General features: G+C 42.6%; 1 long non-coding RNA gene across 2 annotated transcripts; it reads right to left on the bottom strand.

Annotated features, from left to right (window-relative positions):
• Nucleotides 1-1,322: 1,322 nt before the first annotated feature.
• Nucleotides 1,323-23,899, bottom strand: LOC105372787 (uncharacterized). 2 transcript variants are annotated; one of them, XR_937675.3, is made up of 3 exons: nucleotides 23,693-23,899; nucleotides 5,930-6,201; nucleotides 1,323-1,562 (listed from the first exon to the last, which is right to left on the bottom strand). It is a non-coding gene; the product is annotated as an uncharacterized LOC105372787 (long non-coding RNA). The 2 variants fall into 2 exon arrangements; XR_937676.2 differs by lacking the exon at nucleotides 1,323-1,562 and adding an exon at nucleotides 4,407-4,734.
• Nucleotides 23,900-25,723: the final 1,824 nt, after the last annotated feature.

A 25,723-nucleotide genomic window follows, 5' to 3' on the forward strand; every position in this document is an offset into this window, starting at 1 on the left:
AGCAACACAAGTGCTGGGAACAGATGGGGCTTCCTGGGCTCCAGCGCTAATTAACCAGCTCTGCAGCTCAAGGCCTGGGCCTCATGATAGTAGTCTGAGGGCCCCTGGGGTGCAGGGTTGAGCACACAAGGCTGCACACAGGCAGAGGGAGAGGGGTGATCCCGGGAACAGCCATCCCTCCATTCCCTAATCCAGAGGCCGCTGCCCTTCTTGGGCCAGAGAGCAGCAGCTTCTAATACAGATCTGGGCTTCTCACTCAGCAGGTGCCAGGGACCCAAGGAGACAAATGGAGGAAAAAGAGTGAGGAACTCCTGCCCCAAGGAGGCCGCTGCCACCGCCCACTGGCCGCATGCCAACTGGACCCCAGATGATAAGCGTGAAACTCCCAGAGGTTGAGATTGGGAGACTCTCCTCCTCCCTGCCTTTCATCTTGTGTCCCCTCTCTTGTCCCTTCCTCACTTGCAAGAACAGAACTCATTTGATGTGTTTCCGCTACCAAATCAGAGCAGTGAGTGCAGAGTTGGGGAGGAAATTGAAGGGAAACAATTCAAACTGTTTCACTGGAGTTGCAGGCGCTGATAAAGGCATCTTCGTTAGTTAATGAGTTAATTTCTGATAAACCTTAGATACCTAAAATAGGCTACATATTATATGGCCTAAATTGATTCCTAATTAACACTTGAAATGTAATCACAATCAAGGTGGCTTTTTAAATTGTGGGCAAGAGAAAGAAATACATCTCAGACACAAAACAACCTGTACTTAACACTGCCATAAAGTGGATCAGGCTGTATTTATATTTATGTTTGTATTGAGGCTGATTTTTCTGATTCTCTCCCAGTTTGGGTGTTTTATCTCTGAATCCCCAGTGCATAGCACAGTCCTGGCTTGTAGTAGGAATTAGCAAATATCTGTTGAATACATAAACCCTCTTTTCAAAATACAGGACCAGAGCATAGAAACAGAATAGCTAATGTACACTCTTTTGTTGAATGGGGCAAGCACAGCCCAGGTAGCAAGTAAATAGTGACAAAATAATTCTGGAATTATCTCCCATCCACAAGCCAGGATCCAAAATAAATGTCCTTTGTTCTACATTGTTATTGTTTTTTAAAAGTCATTTTCTTTTATCTTCTAAGATACTTATGGATAGAATAATATAAAGTCTGGATTTGCTTCAAAATACCTTAGCAGACTGGGATTATAGATGAGACAAGACCAGCTGTGTGGGAATAATTGTTGGAACTGGCTAGTGGGGACATAGAAATTCATAAAACTATACTGTCTACTTTTGAAATTAATTTTCAAAAATATGCTTGAAATTGTCCTTTATAAAAGGTTTTTATTACTCCATGCTAGGAAAAATGTAATTGAAACTAAGTAGTAGAAATGTTAGAAAAACACAAGCAAACAATTCACAAGGTTGGTGCCATATCCCTTTAGGACATATATGCTCACTGCAGCGCCCACGGGTCCAGTTGGAGAGATGTGATGCTCACAGAGCCTGTGTCCAAGGACTTTCTTTGCCGTTATCTCGTGGTTCTGCAAATACACGCTCAAGGCTGCCAAAAATGAGTGATAGTAAATTACCCCGCTAATTCAATGACTCTTCTTCAATAGAAACTGATTACAAAGAAAAAAAAGTAGTCAACAATCCTAACAGTATTTCAGCAGTTCTTGGGAACATTTTGCAGAATGTAAGGGAAGACATTAACAAGAAATTTCTAGCAAAATTCCATTACTTCAAGTAGTCTTGCACAAAATGTGAGGCAGAGGGGGTAAATGTATATGCCCTTACTTTTGATGATGCTGTTTTCTTGTTAAAAAAAACATCTTCTGGCCGGGCAAGGTGGCTCACGCCTGTAATCCCAGCACTTTGAGAGGCCGAGGCAGGCGGATCACGAGGTCAGGCGATCGAGACCATCCTGGCCAACATGGTGAAACCCCGTCTCTACTAAAATAGAAAAAAATTAGCCAGGCATGGTGGCGCGCGCCTGTAGTCCCAGCTACTCCAGAGACTGAGGCAGGGGAATCACTTGAAACCGGGAGGCAGAGGTTGCAGTGAGCTGAGATCGCGCCACTGCACTCCAGCCTAGTGACAGAGCAAGACTTCGTCTCAAAAAAAAAAAAAAAAAAAAAAGCATCTTCCATGTTTGGGTTTGTAGGATGCTTTCAGTTTTAGCCACTTGTTAAGATTTTTATTCTGTCTTTCCTGTGCCATTTAGAAATTCTGTTGTAAAAGCAATTTAATGTACCTAGAAATTTAAACTTCAATTCTAATTTCAAAACACAACTAAGTCTCTAAATATTTACTAAGTAATATTCAAATAAATGCCATTTCATCTGAACGGTAAAATAAACCAGCATGCTTGAACATTTTAATGGGCTTCCAAATGCTATCGGAAAGATCAAGCTGTCCTGTCAGAGATCATCCGTGGATTTTCAGGAAATGCACTGCAATGTCACATAACCCATCTTTAGCCTGGCCTTTGAGCAAGCAAGCAAAACCATTCTGCAAATGCTGAGGCTGTATTTCCAGAGGCATTCCAAAATGACCTTGGAAATGCAATGCAATTAGTATAATATGTTTGGAGTGGGACATGCTGGAATTAAGGCAAAAATAGCATACATATTATCGCTGAAACAGAAGCGATTTAAGAAGAGAGAGCGCAACTCTAAAGGATGGACCTAAAATTAAAAGTAGTTTAAAAATACATATGTATTTAAAAAATACACATTAAAAAATACATATGTCTAGGCTGGGCGAGGTGGCTCACACCTGTAATCTCAGCTCTTTGGGAGGTGGAGGTGGGAGGATCACTCGAGCCCAGGAATTCGAGACCAGCCTGGGCAACGTGGCAAGAACCCATCTCTTCCTAAAATAATACAAAAATTAGCCAGGCGTGGTGGTGTGCACCTGTAGTCCCAGCTACTCAGGAGGCTAAGGTGGGAAGATCACTTAAGCCCAGGACGCAGAGACTTCAGTGAGCTGAGATCATGCCACTACACCCCAGCCTGGGCAACAGAGCCAGAACCTACCTCAAGGTTACATGTATATGTGTGTGTATATATATATATGTGTGTGTGTGTGTATGTATACATGTATGGATATACTCATATACATATATGGGAGCAGCCATTTTTATGGTGAAAGGTGGGAAAAGTCACACAAAATAATATCCTTATTTTGCCAATTATAATAACCATTTATTGAGTACAAATATGGGTTATCTCATGTAATCCTCATCTCTGCTCACCCAGATAACTACTGTATGATTTCCACTTTAAGGTGATAAAAACTGATGCCTGGGAAGGTCACGTGATGTAACCAAGGTCATCCATCCATTGAGAAATCCCTCCCATCTCCCAATTACCAGCCATCGACTGTACTGAAAGCTTATGAATATAAATAGTGGTTTACCCAGCATTCATTCTGAAAGAATCTCTATCTAGTCGTATATTTCAGAATGTTTTTCATCTTCCACCCTTTTCTAAAAACACTTTCTCCATCTCCTAAACAAGCACTCAAAACGAATGACCCCTGAGGGAGATCTCCATGGACAAACCAAACATTAACCTTCTGGAAAGCAGCTGATTATCTCCATATCTGGGCAACTGTGAGTTATACTGCAATGAATATGAGTGCAGATATCTCTTTGAGGCACTGATTTCATGTCCTTTAGGTATATATACCAGAAGAGAGACTGCGGGACCATGTGGTAGTTCTTTCTTTAATTTTTTGAGGAACGTCCATACTGTTTTCCATAAATTACAATGGAATATCATTCAGCCTTCAAAAAGGAGATCCTGCCATTTGTGACAACTTGGATGAACCTGGAGGACCTGGTGCTAAATGACATAAGCCAGACACGGAAAGAAAAATACTGCATGATATTATTTATATATGGAATCCAAAACAGTCAAATACATAGAAGCAGAATAGAATGGTGATTCCCAGGACTCGGGGGAAATGGGGAGATGTTGGTCGAAGAGTACAGCCTTGCAGGTATAAGATGAACAAGTTCCGCAGACCTAACATACAGCATGGTGACTATAATTAACAATAACGTGTTATATACCTGAAATTGCTAAGACAGTAGAACACTTAAGATCTTAAGTGTTCTCACCACACACACAAAAAGTAACCATATGAGTGACGGATATGCTAATTAGCTGGATTGTGGTAATCATTTCATGATATATACATATATCAAAACATCATGTTGTACATCTTAAATATATACAATTTTTATTTGTCAATTACACCTCAGTAAAGCTGGAAGGAAAAAAAAAGTAGCTGATTTTTCAGTAGGATTAGAGCCAGGGCTCTCAGTGAGAAGTTCTGCGAAAGGCTGGAATGGACAGGACTTTTTGGTAGAAATGAAAAGCAATAAACCCACCTGCGGACAACCAAGCAGGTCGTGACATTGCAGGACTAGCAGATGGTACCTAAAATGTCACTGTAGTCTTTCCCACCTCACTGATTGGCAGCTGTGGCTCAGGCTAAAACCTTGGAGGCATCTTTAACTCCACTCTCTCTCCCTTTTACCTCACATCCAATCTGTCGGCAAATCCTAAACTTCTAAATATATCCAGAATATGACTGCTTCTCACACCTCCGTTGCCAGCACCTCCGGCAGGGCCCCCATTGTGTGCCGCCTGGATTCTCACAGTCGCCTCGCTCTGTCTCCCAGCCCTACACAGTCTCTTCTTTGCACAGCAGTCAAAAAGCTCCTTAAAAACCCAAGTCAGATCAAGTCAGCTCCCTGCTCTGAACCCTGAACCCTCCAGGGGCTCCTCTATAACATTCAGAGTCGAAGTCAAAGTCTACAATGCTCCGAGGCCCTACACCATCTACCCCTGTCCATCCTTCTGGGACCTTCAGCTCAACTTCCCCTCTAGCTGCTCCATTCCATGCATGCCAGCCCCACTCCCCATTCTGTGTTCCTCAAATATGCAGGGCCTTTGCACTAACTCTGTCCTCCCCAGATATCCCCAGATATCCTCCTGAATCCCCAGATATCCTCCTGAATCCCCAGATATCCTCCTGGCTCACTCCCTCAGCTCCCCCATGTCTTTGCTCAGACATCACCTTTGGACATGATTTGGATCTGTGTTCCTGCCCAAATCTCATGTCAATTTGTAATTCCCAGTGTAGGGAAGGTGGGGCCTGGTGGGAGGTAATTAGATCATGGGGGTGGATTTCCCCACTTGGTACTGTGTTGATGGTGAGTGAGCTCTTGTGAGATCTGGTTGTTTAAAAGTGTATAGTACATCCGGCCAGGCGCGGTGGCTCACGCCTGTAATCCCAGCACTTTGGGAGGCCGAGGCGGGCCGATCACGAGGTCAGGAGATCGAGACCATCCTGGCTAACACGGTGAAACCCCGTGTCTACTAAAAATACAAAAAATTAGCCGGGCGCGGTGGCGGGCGCCTGTAGTCCCAGACACTCGGGAGGCTGAGGCAGGAGAATGGCGTGAACCCAGGAGGTGGAGCTTGCAGTGAGCCGAGATAGCGCCACTGCACTCTGGTCTGGGCGAAAGAGCGAGACTCCGTCTCAAAAAAAAAAAAAAATAAATAAAAGGTGTATAGTCCCTCCTTCCCTCTCTCTTCCTCCTGCTCCAGCTGTAAGATGTGCCTGCTTCCCCTTCTCTTCCCACCATGATTGTAAGTTTCCTGAGGCCTCCCCAGAAACAGAAATCGCTATGCTTCTTGCACAGCCTGCGGAACAGTGAGCCAATTAAACCTCTTTTCTTTATAAATTACCCAGTCTCAGGTGTTTCTTCATAGCAGTACAAGAGTGGCCTATTACACCTTCTCAGTGAGATCTGCCTCAACTTCCCTATTCAAAATTGTAACATCTTCTGCCCAGCACTCCCAGCCCCCTACCCTGCAGCATTTTACCCCATAACACTTATCACCTTCTTACCTTTAAATGTGTTCCTTTCCTTACAAAAGCATAGCTTGTAAAATCCAAAGTCTTGTTTCCAACTAGATATCATCTGCCTCCTGATGCCATGCAAATGCACATAGCACCAGCTAGGAAATATTCTTGTCACAAAAACTTGATCCTGAATTTAGTCAAACTTCTCCAGCTAACTTCCACTCACTTGGAATAGAGGGACAAGAGCATGGCACCATAAGGAAGCATGCAGACAAATGCTGAATGTGGGACATTCTCCAAGACAATCGACCTGGTCTCTGCAACAAACCAAGGGAAGGGGGATTAAAAGAGAAAATAATGGAGACTGCGGTAGATTTAATAACACTTACAAGATATAACAACAAAATGCCATGGGGAGAACCTGCTCAAATCCTGATTTGTGCCAACCAACAATAAAGAGACACTTTGGAGTCAAGTAAGTAAATTTTATTATGGACTGAATATTACATCTAGTATATTACCAAAGAAATAGTGTGCACTTTGAGAGGCATAATAACTGTATTATGGTTACATAAGAAAATAGTAACCATTTTTAGAGCTATTAATATGTACTGAAATGTGTAGAGATTTAATGACATGATTTTGGGGACTTACTTTAAGGTACTTCAGCATATTGAAAAGGGATAAATGGGCCAGGCATGGTGGCTCACACCTGTAACCCCAGTACTTTCGGAGGCCGAAGCAGGAAAAAAAAAAAATGACCTGGCATGGTTGCACATGTCTGTAGTTTCAGCTACTGGGGGGTAAAAGAGGGGGTATTCCGAGGTGGGAGGATCACCTGAGCCCAGGGCTGTCGAGGCTGCAGTGAGCCATGATCACACCACTGCATTCCAGCCTGGGCTACAGAGTTAGACCCTAACTCAAAAACACAAACAAACAAACAAGCAAACAAAACAAGAAAAGAGATAAATAAAACATGTAACAAGATTTGTTTTTAAATCAGGCCTATTGAGGTTTACATACAATAAAGTTCACCCATTTAAAGTTTGATTAGTTTTGACAAATGCATACAGTTATATGACCAAAACCACAGCCAAGATATAGGATATTTCCTTCACCCTACAAAGCTCCCTCATGTATGCTGAGATTTCTATAATTCTTGGATCTAGAAATGAGTGTGTGAGGATTCACTGTATTATTTTCTTACTATTGTGCATAACTTGGAGCAGACCTGGCAAATACGATCTGGAATTTTTCTGGGGGCATGTGATGACTGTAGGACCTAGTGTGCATGACAAGTGGACAGATGGATAACTGATTCTGAAACTTGAAAGAGAAGTGTCTCAGGGAGAATTCCCAGAAGCCACCCTGAGACAAGGATTCATGTGTAAGTGATTTATTAAGGACATGACGACGAGATCCAGCATGAAACACACAGGATGGCCTAGAAAATATTTTGCTGGTCGGGTGCAATGGCTCATGCCTGTAATCCCAGCACTTTGGGAGGCCAAGGCAGGTGGATCACCTGACGTCAGAAGTTCGTGACCAGCGTGGCCAACATGGTGAAACCTTGTCTCTACTAAAAATAGAAAAATTAGCCAGGCATGGTGGCAGGTGCCTGCAATCCCAGCTACTCGGGATGCTGAGGCAGGAGAATCGCTTGAACCTGGGAGGCAAAGGTTGCAGTGAGCCAAGATCACACCACTACACTCCAGCCTGGGCGACAGAGCAAGATTCTGTCTCAAAAAAAAAAAAAAAGGAAAGAAAATACTTTGTTAAAATAGCTGAATCTATTCCAACCTCTAGAACTTCCTTTCCCTGGCAAAAATGGAGGATAAAGGAGAGAAAGGCCAGAAAGTAACTTGATCCACCCACTTGCTCACCCCAGAAATCAAGGGACATCTGAACCTCTCCTACTCTCAAAGACCACCAATAGCCATCCAGTCAGAACCAAGTCCTGTCAATTCCCTCCCAAAATAAATCTCCCACCCACCCATCTATGCTTATCCTCCTACTAACCCAAGCGAGGATCCCCTCTCACCTGCATATGTCAACAGCATCCCAATTTGTCTTCCTTTCTTGCCCCAACCCCACCCATTCTGCACAGAGCAGTCAGAATTAAAAGGAAAATCAGGTCATGTCACTCTCTTGCTGAAAGCACTTCTGTAAAATAGTTTGGCAATTCCTCAAACAATTAAACATAGAGTTGCCAGCAATTCTACTCCTAGAAATATATTCAAGAGAAATGAGAACATAGGTCCACACAGAATCACCATCCAAAGCCCAGACCTCCCAATTCTTACATTGGGGATTAAATTTCAACATGAATTTTAGAGGAGACGAAAACATTCAAACCATAATAGGACATAAACTTGATTTCTCATTGATAGGATGGATGCAACTAAACAGCTCAACAGTGTTGATTAAAAATGCTTATTATGATAGAGGAAAATGGCAGATAGGAGGCAGGACTAACTTGCAGCTCCCACTCGGATGGACAGAGCAGTGCATGAAGACCCACATCGTCAAATTTTACTCCAAGAACTAACACAGGATCATACCAGGAAAACCAAAAGAAACCACAGACCCTTTGAAGGCGGTGAATTGCTGCTGCAGGCTCTGTGTCCCCTACAAAATGCATATGGTGAAATCCTAGCCCCCAATGTGATGCTATTAGGAGGTGGTGCCTTTGGAAGGTGATTAGGTGATGAGGGGGGAGCCCTCAGGAATGGGATTAGTGCCCTTGAAAAGGGGACTCCAGAAAGTCTCTCACCCTCTTCCTACCATGAGAAGACAAGTGTACAACTCAGAAGAGGGCCTCACCAGCCCCCAGCAACGCTGGCATCCTGCTCTCAGACTTCCACCATCCAGAACTGTGAGAAATATGTTTCTGTTCTTTATAACTATCCGGTCTATGGTACTCTGTTATACACCCCAACAAAGACGGCCCCTGTAAGAATTCTGCTGTGTGGTCCTGGGGAGGGATTGAGCAGGACCAGGAGCCATGATTCCAGTGTGTGACCCTGGGGAAGGACTGAGCAGGACCAGGAGCCATAATTTGGTGTGTGACCCTGGGGAGGGATTGAGCAGGACCAGGAGCCATGATTCCCGTATGTGACACTGGGAAGGGATTGAGCAGGACCAGGAGCCACAATTCCAGTGTGTGACGCTGGGAAGGGATTGAGCAGGACCAGGAGTGAGCAGGACCAGGAGTGATAATTCCGGTGTGTGACCCTGGGGAAGGATTGAGCAGGACCAGGAACCATAATTTGGTGTGTGACCCTGGGGACGGATTGAGCAGGACCAGGAGCCATGATTCCGGTGTGTGACCCTGGGGTAGGATTGAGCGGGACCAGGAGCCATTGGGCCTGGTACATACATATAAATGAGTGAAGAGAGCAGAAATGTCTGCAAAGCAATCACATAGGAATGAATATTCTTCACATCCCAAAGGAAATGTGTCTTTCCCATTTTTGTTGAGACAGGCAGCCCTCCCTGGGTGTTTTACTCTCACTTTTGCTAGACTCATAAGTAAAAGAGAAATTATTTCTACCAGAAGACATAATTTGCAATTGTTAAGATATGGAAAATATGGAACCAGCCCAAATGCCCAACAATCAATGAGTGGATAAAGAAAATGTGGTGTATACATATTTATACATATATATGTATAAATATATATACCACATTATATATTTTTTATATATAATATTTATGTTTATATTTATATTTATATTCCATGGTGTATACACACACACACACTGTGGAATACTACTCAGCCACAAAAAGGAACAAAATAGTGGCATTCACAGCAACCTGGATGGAATTTGAGACTATTATTCTAAACGAAGTAACTCAGGAATGGAAAACCAAACATTGTATGTTCTCACTCATAAGTGGGAGCTAAGCTATGAGGATGCGAAGGCATAAGAATGATACAGTGGACTTTGGGGACTCAGGGGAAATGGTAGCACGGGGTTGAGGAAGAAAAGACTATACATTGGGTACAGTGTACACTGCTCTGGTAATGGGTGCACCAAAATCTCAGAAATCAAAAAAAAATCTCAGAAATTTAAAAAAAATAATAATAAGCAAAAGTTTTGAATTTTTAAAAAAATTTTTAAAAAGAAAAGAGAAAAAAAGAAGATAACCGCGCAAGGGCAGCTACAAATGACAAGTGACACTTGGCTTCAGGCTCAGGGAGGCAGTGGGAGTGGCAGTGTAGTGGATGCGGTGATGCTGCCCACCTCCCCTGGCAGGACGGGGACATCCTTCCCTCTGCTGCTGGGAGTGTGGTTGCTGACAGCTCTCGCTGGGGACGTTCCCTGGGAATCGCCCTCCTCTGGAAATAGCCACCTTGCCCAACAACTTCCCCCTCCTGGGGGCAACCCACATCCAATGATGATTGATATGGCTCCTTCCTTGAGGCAGGACAACTTCAAAAGACCATCCTAGCTCCTGTGGGATGGGCTAAACCCTTGGTTGTGACAGATCCACTGCACTGCAGTTCAGCTTCTCCATCCAATCCTTCTTTCTTCATTCACATTACCTGTGTTGATCCTGAGACCAGTCCCCAAGAAACTCCTGACTGTAAATCCCATCTCACAGCCAACTTCTCAGGGAGCCCCATCCAAGGCAGGTGGGGCTGAGGCTTACCAGGAGTGGGTGGCTGCTGCTCTAGCTGTTGTCCCATGCTGTAACTGAGCTAGATCTTGCAATCTTTCAAAAGAAGTTACAAATCTCTAACTGTATGTGAAATCTTGTTTTGTTTTGTTTTGTTTTGTTTTGAGATAGGGTCTTGCTCTGTCATCCAGGCTTAAGTGCAGTGGCACCATCACAGCTCACTGCAGCCACGACCTCCCCAGCTTAAGCAATCCTCCCACCTCAGCCTCCCAAGTAGCTAGGATCACAGGTGCACACCACCAGACCTGGTTAATTTTTTTTTTTTTTTTTTTTTTTTTTTTTGTAGAGATGAGGTCTCCCTATGTTGCCCAGGCTGGTCTTGAACTCCTGGGCTCAAGCAATCCTTCCATCTCGGCCTCCCAAAGTGATGGGATTATAGGCATGAGCCACTGCACCCAACCAAAATCTTGTAATCTTTAAATGTCAGTTTGCTTCTTGGCTATCTCATTTACAATCTCTGAAGTCAAACCTTCTTCACCAAAGATCATAAGTCTTAATCATGAAATATATCCAGTCTCTTGAAACCAGTAAAGCGAATCTATGTACTCCTGCATTCCACCTTATCCCTTCAAATCCTCTGATGATTGGCCAAATATGAAAAGAGATCATAACAGCACTGACCTTTATGTAGGCCATCAATCTTATTTCACATCCATTGTCTATTTTGATGACGTCTTTACACTGTGTCATTCGGGTCACAGGTTAATGATCTACTTTGTATTCACTGGAGGTGATCACAGTGGAGTCTCAGGTGGGCCACAAGTTGAGACACAAGGACATCATCTCCTGTGTGGTGGAGATGCCCAAGTTTCTCAGCCTCTCACTCTCCCACCCACTTGCCTTGTCCTCAAGCATTGGAACAGAGTCACTTGCCATGTTGATCTAGATCAATGAAACTTTAGAGCATGAGTTTTAAATTTTAACTTATTTCTGAAATTGTTGATGCAGAATCAATGCACACAACTGTGCAAACCAGGGTTGAGTGGCCCAGTTCTCCCCTACAGCTCCCTGCGTGCGGTAACTTATAGACGTCCCTAACACTGAATGGATGGAGTCTGGAAACCACCATCAGAGGTGGTCTGGCTACAGGTCCACATGCATCGTTAGCCCCTCTCCATTTCTCACATGGCTTCAATCAAGCAGAGATTTCATCTCCGTCTGCTTCTGCCAGACTATCAATCCAAAAAGCTAATGGGACACTTGTTTGTTGCTCCCCTCTGGTAAAAAGAAATGCCTGTTGCTTTTGTGCTTCCATGACAGGAAGGCAGCCAGTTGGTTTTGCCCATTCATAACCAAGGTTAAGTTCCCTGACTAGCTGGAGGGCACCACGTCTGTGTCTCAGGTCAGCTAGCACTTTTCACTGCACTGCTGGCATTAATTTGGCATCTTCTCCTGACCACAGCATGACTGTGAAGCCAGCAACATTCTCCTTACAGGTCACAGAAAAATAAATACTACCATGCTATCTGTCCTTTTCATCAGATTCTGCTAGGATTTGCCTGGCATGCAGTTGGCACTCGATAAATACTTGTGAAATGAACAAATGGGTATCAGCAAAGGCAGTTTCTGAATGATATTCTGATGTAATTATTTGGATGCTCAGAGTTTAAATGTGAGTCCCTGCCTTTACCAAATTATTCCACCTCTACCCTCAAGTAGGTCTAATGTCCAATATTGTGGTTGTCCTTAATTAGGTGACAAGGCTACCAAAGGCCCTACGCGACCTGCCCCTAACGCACCTCTTCAGCCTCGTGTCTCTGTCTCCCTCTTGCTCCACCCACAGTGTCCCAGCCAGACACAACTCACTCACTCCTGTAATGGAGCAGGCTCAGGGCCTTTGCACATCCTGCTCTCTCGGCTGGAACATTCTTCCACCACCACCACTGGCCTAATTCATTCAAACCCACTCTTCAAGCCCCAGAGTTGATGTCACTTCCCTGGGACACCTTCCCAATCTCCTGACTCCCGTGGGTTACGTGCACTTCCCGTGCTCCCGACATGTCCTTATTTCAGTTCTCATCACCCTGCATGGTAACGGCCTTGCTGCCTGTGGTACCTCTCACCAGGCTGTAAAAGTCACGCAGAGAAGTGTGTCTGCTGTTGCATCCTCAGGCCCCAACAAATGGGAAATGCTCGCTACACATTTGAGTTTTTGTTGGTTGCATGAATGAATGCATCAGCCATGAGAGCTCTATTCTTGTGCCCTCCAGGAGATGAGTAAGGTAGGATTTGGAGAACAGATTTTGGAATCAGACGGACGTGAGTGGGCAGCCTGACCCCACCCTTACTTCTTCATGTAAGACAACAGAGTAATCCCAGCACTTTGGAAGGCCAAGGTGGGTGGATCTCTTGAGGCCCGGAGATCGAGACCAGCTTGGCCAACATGGCGAAACCCCATCTCTACTAAAAATAAAAATAAAAATAAATTAGCCAGGCATGTAGTGCACACTTGTAGTCTCAGCTATTCGGGTGGCTGAGGCATGAGAATCACTTGAACCCAAGAGGCGGAGGTTGCAGTGAGCCAAGATCATGCCACTGCACTCCAGCCTGGGTGACAGAGTGAGACTAGTCTCAAAAAAAAAAGGTAATAGAAACCACTTCAGACTCCAGATATCTGAAACCTAAGAGGAATTTATTTTTTTTAAGTATTAGTCAGCTCATAGAAGCTCTGGGAAAGGTGAGGAACTGAGTGTGCCACTGTACTGGTTCTAAAACATAAGCAAAACTTCTTAGACAGTCCCCTCATGGAAGGAGGAGTCTAATCGCCACCCCTCCTTGAATATGGGCTAGCCTTAGTGACTCTCTCTTAATGAATAGCACATGGCGGTAGAGATGCTCTATCATTTCCAGGTGATACAACTTCTGCCTGACTCTCTCTTTCTCTCTTTTTCTCTCTCCTTCTCTCTGTGTCTGTATATCTCTCTGTCTCTCTGTCTCCCTCTCTCTGCATGTGTCTCTCTGTCTCTCTCTTCTCTGTCTCTCTGTCTCTCTCTCTCTCTTTCCTTCCTTCCCTCTCTCAATGTTCTCCCTTGGGACCTCGCCTCCATGTTGTGAGGAAGCCAGGCAGCCCCATGGGAAAACCACATCGAGGTGTCTGGCCATGGCCCCAGCTAAGGTCACAGCCAAGAGCCAGCATCAACCACCAGCCACATGAGCAAGCAGGCCTCAGATGATCCTAGCCCCCAGCCTTCAAGCCACTCAACCAATGGTGAGTGGAGCAGAAATGATTGTCCCTGCCAAACCCTGCACAAATTATACTTTCAAAAGCAAAACGAATGTTGATCCTGGTTTGAGCTCCTAAGTTTTGGGGTGATTGCTTACATGGTAATAGATAACCAGAACAGCAACTCTGCAGCCACGAGCACCACCTAAATTGTGCCACAGGAGCTCTGCAGCCAGGGACCCAGGGTTGCTCTGAGGCCCTTACAGTTCATCCCATGGTTGCCAGACCCCACAGTCAGTGCTAGAACTTCTGCTGTGTTGCCACTGTTGTGGCCATGATGAGAAGAACAAAGGGTGACCAGGCAATCTCAGAGTGCGTGTGCTGGCTGCAAGCAGGGGCTCAGAGGAGGGCACAGCTCTGCTATTGACCAGCTGTGTGAGCTTGGGCAAGTGTCCTAACCACTCTGGGACTCAACTACTTCTTTCTGAAGTGGGATCAGTAGGGGTACCATATGCATGGAGTGGTTGTGAGAATTAGACAAATTAATAGATACAGATGATGAGAACAGTGCTGGGCTAATGAGTATGCATTATTCTCTACCTCGGGCCCCCCATCACTTCCTATCTAGTACGTGATTTCCTTCTAGCAGCTGTTATCACTACATGACCTTATCGCATGTATTGATGTGCTCTCTTGTTTTTGGTCTGCTCTCCTTCCTGTTGGGTTGTAAGCTCGATGCAGGAAGGAAGTATGTTTTCCTGTCACTGAATCTTCAGCACCTAGAAGAGTAGGCGCTGATATATCAGGCTAGATGTGTCAAGCACATATCACACGCTCAGTGAATGTTTGCTGAGCAAATGAATGAAGTGGCTGATAATATCACCAGAGAGCTAAGATAGGACCTCAAATAACGCTAATACAAAATAGACACCATAAGGCTTGTGAGAGAGGTGCACAAAGCTAACAGGCTTCAAGGAAAGGGAAAGAAATGAAACCAATGGGGAATTCTAGAAAAGGCTTTGGAGAAGGGATGCCACAGGGGTTGGGCCTCAAAGGAGAGACAGGACTTCAAGAGATGAAGATGTAACAGAAGATGGGACTGAGAGAGAATTAGTAAGAGCCAAGACCAAAGTAGGGAAGGACAGGACATGCTTAGGGAAGGGCCAGTGGTGCCCTTGGGCTGGTCTACAGCAATTGAGGTTACACAGACTGGCTAAGACCATTGTCACAACCTTCCAGTGTGTCCCCCAAAGGGTAAAATATTCTCCAGGTCCCAGGTGGATTCAGTGCAAGCACCTCCTGTTCAGCTCCACCTGGGCCTGACTCTTCCCGTGCTGGGTGAGCTGAGAATGATCCATGCAGCCAGGCTTATGGCTGAAAGGATCCCAGAGATTTTCATCCTTTTCCTTTTGTAAGAACACAGACACAGAGGTTGGGCTTTCAATTCTAAATTCTAAAGAAGAGAAGATGCCCCATCTTCAGGAGGCCACCCTGACAACGTCTAGCACTGGGACAAACAATTGCAGGGAGCTCCAGGAGACAGGTGGGGAAGAATGTGTGAACAGAACTGACTGCTATTGAATTTAAGATGGTATTATGTTGGTGCAAAAGTAACTGTAGTTTTTGCCATTACATTTTTTTTAAATGACAAAAACTGCAATTAGTTTTGCACCAACCTAATATTTAATTATTTCCTGCCTAAAAATGGGGACATAAATGAAATATTCATTGACTGAATATATTCATGTTATATAAATATATATATTTATATATATTATATATATGTGAATATATATTATATATATGTGAATATATATAAATGTATATATTTATATATATGTGAATATATATAAATGTATATATTTATATATATGTGAATATATATAAATGTATATATTTATATATATGTGAATATATATAAATGTATATATGAGTATATAAATGAATGCCCAAGAGCATGGCGCACCAAAGAGAGTCCAAGTTCTGCTTGGCTTATCAAAGGGAACATCCTCCTCAAAAGAACATGTGGGAGACGGCAGAGGAGCAACTAGTGTGTGTGTTTTCTCCTACGTCTAGGAGGAAAAAACTAAATCTGTCACTTTCTGCATGTATTCACATTAAAAAAGGATTCAAAGCTGTCTATTTAGAAGACAGTGCCAGTACCAATTTCTGTGCCAGGGAGATGATATTTTGCAGTTCACAGGGTAGAAAGAACACCATTTTTGTCACATGTTTAGTATTCCACAAGCAGTGAAAGTTAGAATAATTACCTGTGAACGACTATGTATGTTTCTTTCATCTAATTAGGTAATCTGCCCAGGTGTTTAGGACCAAGGCCTCTCTAGGCTTTAATTAGAAAAAGTCTAGGACAGAAACTAATTAGCAGCATTATTCCAAACCAGAAGTCTAATGATATTAACCACAAATCGCTATTGCAATCAGGAGCCTTTATTCTAAACCATTTTTAAAGTGAGGGAGGAGGGGAAGAAGACAAGGTATTTTTCAGCTTTAGAATATTGACTTCCAAACACTAATTCCAGTCAACTTTGATCCACTCTCTCAAAGCAATAGAAAGAACTGTGATTAACAAAAAGGCAGTACAGAATTAAAAGTCAATGAATATTTCATTTATGTCCCCATTTTTAGGCAGGAAATGATTAAATATTAGGTTGGTGCAAAACTAATTGCAGTTTTTGTCTTTTTTTTTTTTAATGTAATGGCAAAAACTACAGTTACTTTTGCACCAACATAATACCATCTTAAATTCAAAGCAGTCAGTTCTGTTCATACATTCTTCCCCACCTGTCTCCTGGAGCTCCCTGCAATTTATAGGTAATGATCTACATGTACCTGGAACTTTCAAAGTGCAAATAGATTTTTATGACCTCAAAACTCTCCTAAAATTACCGTTTGATTCATTCTAGTTTTCATCAAAATAAGAGAAAAATAACCAAATTCCATGAGGAAAAGTCCATATTTCCAAGGTAGCCAATGGGCTGCTGTATGTGTAAAACTATAGGCTTTTTTTTTTTTTTGAGACAGGGTCTCGCTCTGTCACCCAGGCTGGAGTGAAGTGGCGTGATCTCGGCTCACTGCAGCCTCCACCTCCCCAGGCTCAGATGATCCTCCCACCTCAGCCCCCCAAGTAGCTGGGACTGCAGGCTTGTGCCACCACACCCGGCTAAATTTTGTATTTTTTTCTAGAGATAGGGTCTCACCATGTTGCCCAGGCTGGTTTCAAACTCCTAGGCTCAAGCAATCCGTTCACCTCAGCCTTCCAAAGTGCTGGGATTACAGGCGTGAGCCACCACCACACCTGGCCAATAGGCTATTTTTATAATGGGGCTTTTCTGCTCACATCTTTGGCTCTTTTCCAGAATTTTTTCATTTCTTGTAGCATTTACTTAGGAGAACTGGTGGTTTGAAAACACTAGTAGACACAGAGCACATAGTTTTGATTTGTTTTGTTATTAGTGAACATAAAATGACATGGAAATTTTATATTTCGGGCACACTGGCATTTTAAATAATTAATTAGGTAAAAGTAAAATTGGATGAAAAGCCCAATTTAGCATCAGGCTGAAGACAAAAGAAGCCCCACATCAAAGATTAAGAAACTGGAACACACATCAATCCTAATTTGTTGTATCAGTGCATTTTTCAGTCCCTTCTCTCCATGGATGACTTGGGTTTGCTAGTGTTACTAGCCAAATCCCCCAAGGTTAGCTCAATCTAACTTAAACTTGAGCCCCACCAGGAAAAGGAACTTGAACTATCATTTTGAGTTTCGATTCTCCTCTGATTTTCTATTCCTCATTGTCAACCTTCAATATACCTCCCAATCCCCAACCACCCCGCAAACAGACAAAAATTTAGAAAAAGAAAACCAGGCTTTTCAAAGAATAAAATTGAGGGATTTGCATAATTTAGTATCTGGCTTTCAGAAATTTTTTTTAACAACAGAAAAAAAGGTTTTCATTGCCTCTCCCTCTGGAATATAAACTGACTCTGCCTCATGAGAACATACCTGTGTCCCAAGCATTGGCCCTCAAGAGGTTGTGGCTTAGAAACCAAAGAATGTAAATAAAACCTGTGTAGAAAGTGATGTTCCCAGGCAGCTGCTTTGGGAGCCTCTCCTGGTTTGTTTATTTTTTTTTTCATACCCGCTTTGTTTAACACATGCTAGGTTTTTCCCAGCTAGCTATCAAACATTGCTCACGTTTAAGGGTTAAAATAATGTGGTCATTATTGTACTATTCCCGAGAAACGGGAAAAAGAGATCTACAGCAGACTTGCTGCAGCTGTTAGGCAGCCCAATTGCCAACCACAAGGGAATTTGCTTACTTCTATATCACAATCTCCCACCTTGATAAAAAAGAAAAAAACACACCCATTTCATTTAGACTGTATACTAAGAATAATTGCCACCAATATTGATTGGCCTTTTGGGATCCAGCTGAATTTAAAAATTGCAGACTGTGAAATCCCAGCTGATGTATCCTCACTGAGATTACTGCTTATTTGTGACAGGTTCCTGTGTTTAAACTTATCTATGAAAACTGTGAAATTAATATCTTCATGTTGAGTACAATATGGTAACACAACCTGCTGAGACGCACAGCTATTTTTGTTCTTATTATTTTAATGCTGGCTCCTGCCTGTGCCCCACTGTGAATCTTTCTGATAATGAAGCATAAGTACATTTGTTATCTGGAGTCTCATGTTCTCACTGTTTTCTAACTGTTTATTTTCAGGGATTGCACAAATGAGGTTTGTTTCTTTTTAAGTTTTTTTTTTGCTGCACAATTAGTTTTATCTGGATTTTAACCTAGTTGGTTCTCACGCTGGCCTCCGGCTTGGGAGTAAAATTACTGCAGTTGACTTCTGTTTCTGCTTCATCGTACACACCTCCGACACAGAAGATTTGAAGCTAGACGTTTCCTGACAAGTGCTTTCGTCTGCTAAAATCAGAGAGGAAAATGTGCTAGAGTCTTAACTACTAAATCCACGTGATTAACTTATAAAGTTCAAATATGTCAAATATGGAAATTCAGCTGTTTCTGAAACTAATCACAGCTAAAAAACAAAAGCTGATCATGTGGAAATGTGCCTTTAAGTCACACAAACATATATGACTCTGACGCTGAAAATTTCAGGGAGTCATGGGCTATTGGTCTGGCACACATAAAAGCAGCAGAGAACAATGTCACTTGCTTTCCATGAGACTAGAAGTTCTTTGTTTCGTCTGTTATTATCAGAGTCATTGCAGAATCTCATCTTCCTCTCCATTCCAGTTTCATCCCTTCCTCATATTACACACAAATTAAATGTCAGTTTTGAAAGAATCAGGGCAATACCATTTTTAAAAAATATATATACACAGATAAAAGGACTGGAAAGGTGTACACAAAAATTCACAGAGATTCTCTCTGCCTTTCTGGTTACCTGTGATTTGTATTTTCTTCTTTTCACTAATCTCTATGTCCTAAATTTCCTACAATGTGTAGGGATGACCTTGGTAACAGGAAAACAATTATATTTTTTAAAAAAACTGCTATAAATATGTAACACAACTTCTATACTTCATGTGGAATTATATATAATTTCACTTCCAAGTTCTTTTAATGTGAAAATTATATAAACAAAAAATTAATATCACTATCAATATTAATACTTAAATTTTATGTTTAAAGAATTTACTTTTATGTTACATTATTTCAAGTTCATTCTGATAAATCTCAGTGAGTAGTCAAAATGCAACTGTTTTTTTTTTTAATTTACTTATTGGTTGACTGGTTGCTTGGTTGGTTGGTTCGTTGGTTGCTTGGTTGGTTGCTTGGTTGCTTGGTTGGCTGGTTGCTTGGTTGTTTGCTTGGTTGCTTGGTTGGTTGGTTGGTTGCTTGCTTGCTTGCTTGCTTGCTTGCTTGCTTGCTTGCTTGGCTGGTTGGTTGGTTGGTTGCTTGGTTGGTTGGTTGCTTGCTTGCTTGGTTGCTTGCTTCATTGGTTGCTTGGTTGCTTGCTTCATTGGTTGCTTGGTTGCTTGCTTCGTTGCTTGCTTGGTTGGTTGCTTGGTTGGTTGCTTGGTTGGTTGGTTGGTTGGTTGCTTGATTGGTTGCTTGGTTGCTTGGTTGGTTGGTTGGTTGGTTGTTTGGTTGCTTGGTTGGTTGGTTGGTTGGTTGCTTGGTTGGTTGGTTGGTTGCTTGCTTGCTTTGTTGCTTGCTTGGTTCGTTGGTTCGTTGGTTGGTTGGTTGGTTGGTTGGTTGGTTGGTTGGTTGGTTCGTTGATTGCTTGGTTGGTTGGTTGCTTGGTTGGTTGGCTGGTTCATTGGTTGGTTGGTTGCTTGGTTGTTTGGTTGGTTGGTTTTCTTCACATTTTAACAGTAAGTTTTCTTATTCTTCACTTTTATGAGCATTTTACTTTATTATTATCATCTGAGGTTTCTAACACAGGGCACAAGTTTTACAAATCCAAATCATAACTAATAGGTAGAAAAGTCTATAAAATGTGAAAAATACAAATGTAACACACACGCACACTACAATTTATTTTATTATTCCAAATTTCAAAAATAGTTTTAAAAATTGAATTCCAGCTACTTCAACAAATATGCTTCCACTAGCTTAGAGAACAGCAGAAAACAAGTTGAAAATCTTCTTTTATACCTCTAATAGAGCCGCAAATTAATTTAAACAGCAACTTAATGTATTTTCAAATAGGCCTTCACACTTTCTTACTGAAAATAGAGCATAAGAAACAAAGACAAAGTGTATTCCAATTACTTAGGAAAAATTATTAGCTCCAGGGATACTTTAGAATAATGTGTTTAAAACTGTTTTGTCTGGAGACTTAATGTATAGCATGGTGACTATAGTTAATTACAATGTATAGTACACTTGAAATTTGCCAAAAGAGTAGATCGTAATTATTCTCACCATACACACACATACACAAAAAGGTAATTATAAATACATTCATTAATTTGATTGTGGTAAGCATCTTACAATGTTTAGGTATTTCAAGTCATTACATTCTACACCTTAAATATATTCAATTTTACTTGTCAATTATACCTCAATAAAGCAGGGGGCAACACAAATAAATTTTTTAAATTTAGCGTGCAAAAATATTTTTAAACAGTTTCAAAGCTGAGTCCACAGTGTTGATTTTACTTGCACAAAATATTTCTGCAATATTTATCCTATCATTTGGTTCACTCCAGGCCTGCCCTAGAAACCTGTCACACTTTCAGTTCAGGACCTACAGACTCATTGCAACCAGCCGGTTGTCTCTGCTGCCATGAGGGGAGGTCCCAAGTCATCAAAGGGGACACTCTATCCCTAAGGTCAGCTGTAACCTTCCATAAGACTGTCTTCTTGTTATTATGAAACATAACTAAGGCCTGGCATGGTGGCTCAACGCCTGTAATTCCAGCACTTTAGGAGGCCAATGCGAGTGGATCACCTGAGGCCAGGAGTTCAAGACCAGCCTGACCAACATGTTGAAACTCCGTCTCTACTAAAATTACAAAAATTAGCTGGGCGTGGTGGCAGGTGCCTGTAATCTCAGCTACTCGGGAGGCTGAGGCACAAGAATTGCATGAACCCAGGAGGCTGAGATTGAAGTGAGCCAAGATCATGCCATTGCACTCCAGCCTGGGTGACAGAGCCAGACTCTGTCTCAAAAAGAAGAAGAAGGAGAAGGAGAAGGAGAAGAGGAAGAGGAAGAGGAAGAGGAGGAAGAGGAAGAAGAAGAAGAAGAAGACATAACTAAAGTTTGCTGTGTTGGGCGTCACTAATTTTTAACTTGTGATGGAAGATGTTTGGAATTATAAGAGCAGGTGGCGAATCAGCCCATTGGGCTACCTTGGCTAAGTCTGGTAGTTTGTTTACAGTCATCATTTCCCTGATTGGAAAACACAAAAGCTTTGAGTTCCAGGACCTTCCCTTCAAGCTTGGGCATTACAAGAGGCCAATTACTAAAAGTTGACATAGCTTTGTTGTTATTACAGTAGGTACAAACCTGCAAGTAGTTATGGTTTACGAAAATAATAAATGGAGAGGAGACTCTCCCCTTGTTTAAATTTCGGAGGTTAGGCCAGGTGTGGTGGCTCACACCCGTAATGCCAGCACTTCGGGAGGCCAAGGCAGGTGAATCACTTGAGGTCAGGAGTTCAAGACCAGCCTGGCCAACAAGGTGAAACCCCATCTCTGCTAAAAACACAAAATTAGCCAGGCATGGTGGTGCATGCCTGTAATCCCAGCTACTTGGGAAGCTGAGGCAGGAAAATCATTTGAACCCGGGAGGCGGAGGTTGCAGTGACCAGAAATGGCACCATTCCACTCTAGCCTGGGCGACTAGAGCAAAACTCCATCTCGAATAAATAAATAAATTCAGAGGTTAATGGCTTGACTCTTAGCATAGACACACAGATGTTACGCTATAGATTATACCAGGAAGAGGTGGGAGGAGCCACACATCCCACATCAGAAATAGCCTTTGGAAAACTGCAAACTGGATTGCGTGTGCGTTTGGCTGCAAAATAAATCATGAGTTTCTCCCAAACATTAGATGGACAAAGGAACAATTCACTTTTTTTCCCCACTGTGATCCATTCACAATGGAGTATATTCCTGGAGGATTCTAAGATGTGTTTTGTTCACTAGAGAAGACTTTTTAGGAGTGTTTAGTTTAGGAAATGCTTAGCTGGCTATAGAAGACAGGCGCACATTCTTATCTGACTACAGAATCCAGGTGTCACCTGTGGAGTTAACACAAGGCCACAGATGGCCGCCTTCAAGGTGACCCTGCCCAGAGCCTAGGGAACAAGGTGAGGGTTGACTGAGAAGGGAAATGGTGGTCCTGCTGAGAAGGACATTCCCCAAGCTCATGGTCTGGTCCACAAGCCATCGGTCACACAGAGGGTCACACAGATATGGGATGCCCAGTTAAATTTTAATTTCTGATAAACAATGAATTTGTTTAGTATAAATAAATATGTCGTAAATATTGTATGGGACATACTAAAAACATTACAATATAATTTAGTACATGTACTATGTACTAGTATATGTACTAAATTTTATATATGTGTATTTTAATATTAAAAGTTAGGCCAGGCACGGTGCTCACGCCTGTAATCCCAGCATTTTGGGAGGCCGAGGCGGCCGGATCACCTGAGGTCAGGAGTTCAAGACCAGCCTGGCCAACATGGCGAAACCCTGTCTCTACTAAAAATACAAAAATTAGCTGGGTATGGTGGCAGGTGCCTGTAATCCCAGCTACTCAGGAGGCTGAGGCAAGAGAATCTCTTGAACCAGGGAGGCGGAGGATGCAGTGAGCCGAGATCGCACCACGGCACTCCAGCCTGGGCAACAGAGTGAGATTCTGTCTCAAAACAAAAAAAAAAAGGAAAAAGAAAAAGAAAAAAAGTTAGTATGTTATACCCAACACATATTCAAGGTTGATCTGAAATTCAAATGCAACTAGGTATCTTGTATTTTTGCTAAATGTGGCAACCCTCGCACACAGCGATTCGCTAGTGGCTTTGGAGGGCAGAGGAGGTAGTTCCCTGAGCCCTCCACGTGACTTTTCCTTCTGTCCTCCCCTTCTCTGCTCAGAGGCCCCTTCCTGGGAGAAGGCTTCGCTGATCACTCTGTATACCACTGCACCCTTTTCCCACACTCCCGGCCCCCTTAGCCTGCCTTTTCCTCCATAACTTATCATTGGATGACATACTACATACTTTGAGTAAATGATTTTTTTCATCTTTATTCTCAGCCCTTTGTATTATGTCTGCCACAGAGTGGGCCTTAAAAAATATTTGTGGAACTGCATGAATGAGAGTGACTCCATGGACAAGGATAAAACACTGAAAGTAAAATAAAGGCAGAACTAAGGTAAATGAGTATTGCCATTTCGACTCACCTGATAGATCTGTGTGTTTTAGTCAGTGCAAAACTCACCTGGCGAAGGGAACACCAATGAATAAGATGACGATTAGGTAGGTCCAAGGTGGGGCCCAAGATTCTGTAGCCCTACCACGTTCCCAGGTGATGCCGATGTAGCAAAGAGAGTCCTTGAAGAGAGGCAGGGCACGGTGCTCACGCCTGTAATCCCAGCACTTTGGGAGGCTGAGGCAGGCAGATAGTTTGAAGCCAGAAGTTTGAGACCAGCCTGGGCAACATGGTGAAATCCAGTCTCTACCAAAAAATACAAAAGTTTATCAGGCATTGTAGCATACACCTGTAATCCTAGCTACTCAGGAGGCTGAGGCACGAGAATCACTTGAACCCAGGAGGCGGAGGTTGCAGTGAGCCAAGATCACACCACTGTACTCCAGCCTGGGTGACAGAGCAAGACTCCAACTCAAAAAAGAAAAAAAAAAAAAGAAAGAAAAAGAAAAAGAGAGAGAGAGAGAATCATTGAAGAAAGCTTGGATCCAGGTAAAAATAAAGAGCAGGACACAACCAGAAAAGTCTGTGGTTCTGTTATATCATTGGACAGTGTAATGAAATGTAATGTGTTTTAAAAAATAAAAATTCTATATTCCTAAATCTTGAATAGATTCCTATTTCAGAAACCATCCATTCTGATGAGTCTCCCTTAGCTCTGAAAGAAAGAGGATAAAAACCAAATACAAGAATAATAAAAACCACCTGTCCAAGATGAACTGGAGAAAGGGTGCTAATCTCCCTGCGACAACTCCTACAACTGTATTTGATCAGGATGATAAGAAAAGTTTTAACTCATGCCTCAAGCAGAGCCACAAGACCTGCCTTTTTTGATGACCTTGAATTCTACAACACAGGCTCCAAACCTCACATCTTGTCAACTCTCACCATGAGAAAAGTAGGAAACACTCTCTCACGTTCCCAAGTACTCACCATACCCCCCAAAATAAGTAAAAGCTTACTTTAAAAAATAATTTGTTTTCAGAGCAGAAATCTTCTAAAAGTTGAATTCTGATTCCGTACACACCTGCGGAGAGGTACTTGCCATGCCCACTGTCTAATATGCTTCTCTTTCTATGAACTAGGGTAGGGGTTACAAATAGCTGCCATAGAGTTACTGTCATTATCAGCCTGCAATCTGTGAGCAGCTGTTAAAAACCCACATTTTGTCTCAATTGTAATCATTCAAACAAATAATGCTTACCTACAGTTCAAAAGAAGTCAGTCTGGAATTAAGTGCTGTTCATACCAATTATGTTTCTTCTTTCAGATGTATGGAAAGGGAAAATAAATTATCCATTAAATTGCAGATATATGTAAAGATGCTTTTTGTAGTAAAAGCCAAAACAACTTGAATCTGACCTGTGATTAGAAATAACAGACATTTGAAATTCAGTAACTTAATTCATTGACAATATCACCAGGTTAGTTATCAATGATTCATTCAGTTTTCTTTTAAGCATTATTAATTGCTTGATACCATTTAGGATCAGGAAACCCTTAGTGCAGTGAAAATTGTAAAAGTTTATGACCTGGGAGGCCCGTGTCTAGCCATGCCTCTGTCAGGAATCTGTGGTGTGACTTCTGACAAGAGTTTTATCCCTCTGGATCTGTTTCCTTGGCTGGAAAGTGAGGAAATCGATCCAAAGATTACCTCGCAGATTCTCTCCAACTCTGACATTCTATCATTTCACACTCACTTTAAAATAGACTGTCGGCGACCCTACGCCAGTTTTCCTTGAGAAACAGCGCCACCTTCAGGTCATAATAACCATAAGAGAGCTGACCGTGAAGGTGCTTCTCCGGCAGGAGCGATTTGCCCTGATCCACAGAAACCCTTCCCCCGCAGTCCTCTGGGATGCGGTCACACACTTGTGAGTCTGCCGCTGGGTTAAGATCAATGCGTATGGACATGGAGCCAAGCTGAGCTAACTGGCCCACAAGGGACAGATGCATGACCTTGGCCTAATTATCACAGCTCCAGCTAACAGTTCGCCCACAGCAAAGCTCCTTGTGGAACCCTATAAAGAAGGAAAGGAAGCG

Source organism: Homo sapiens, chromosome 21, assembly GCF_000001405.40.
Source record: "Homo sapiens chromosome 21, GRCh38.p14 Primary Assembly".
Taxonomy (NCBI): domain Eukaryota; kingdom Metazoa; phylum Chordata; class Mammalia; order Primates; family Hominidae; genus Homo; species Homo sapiens.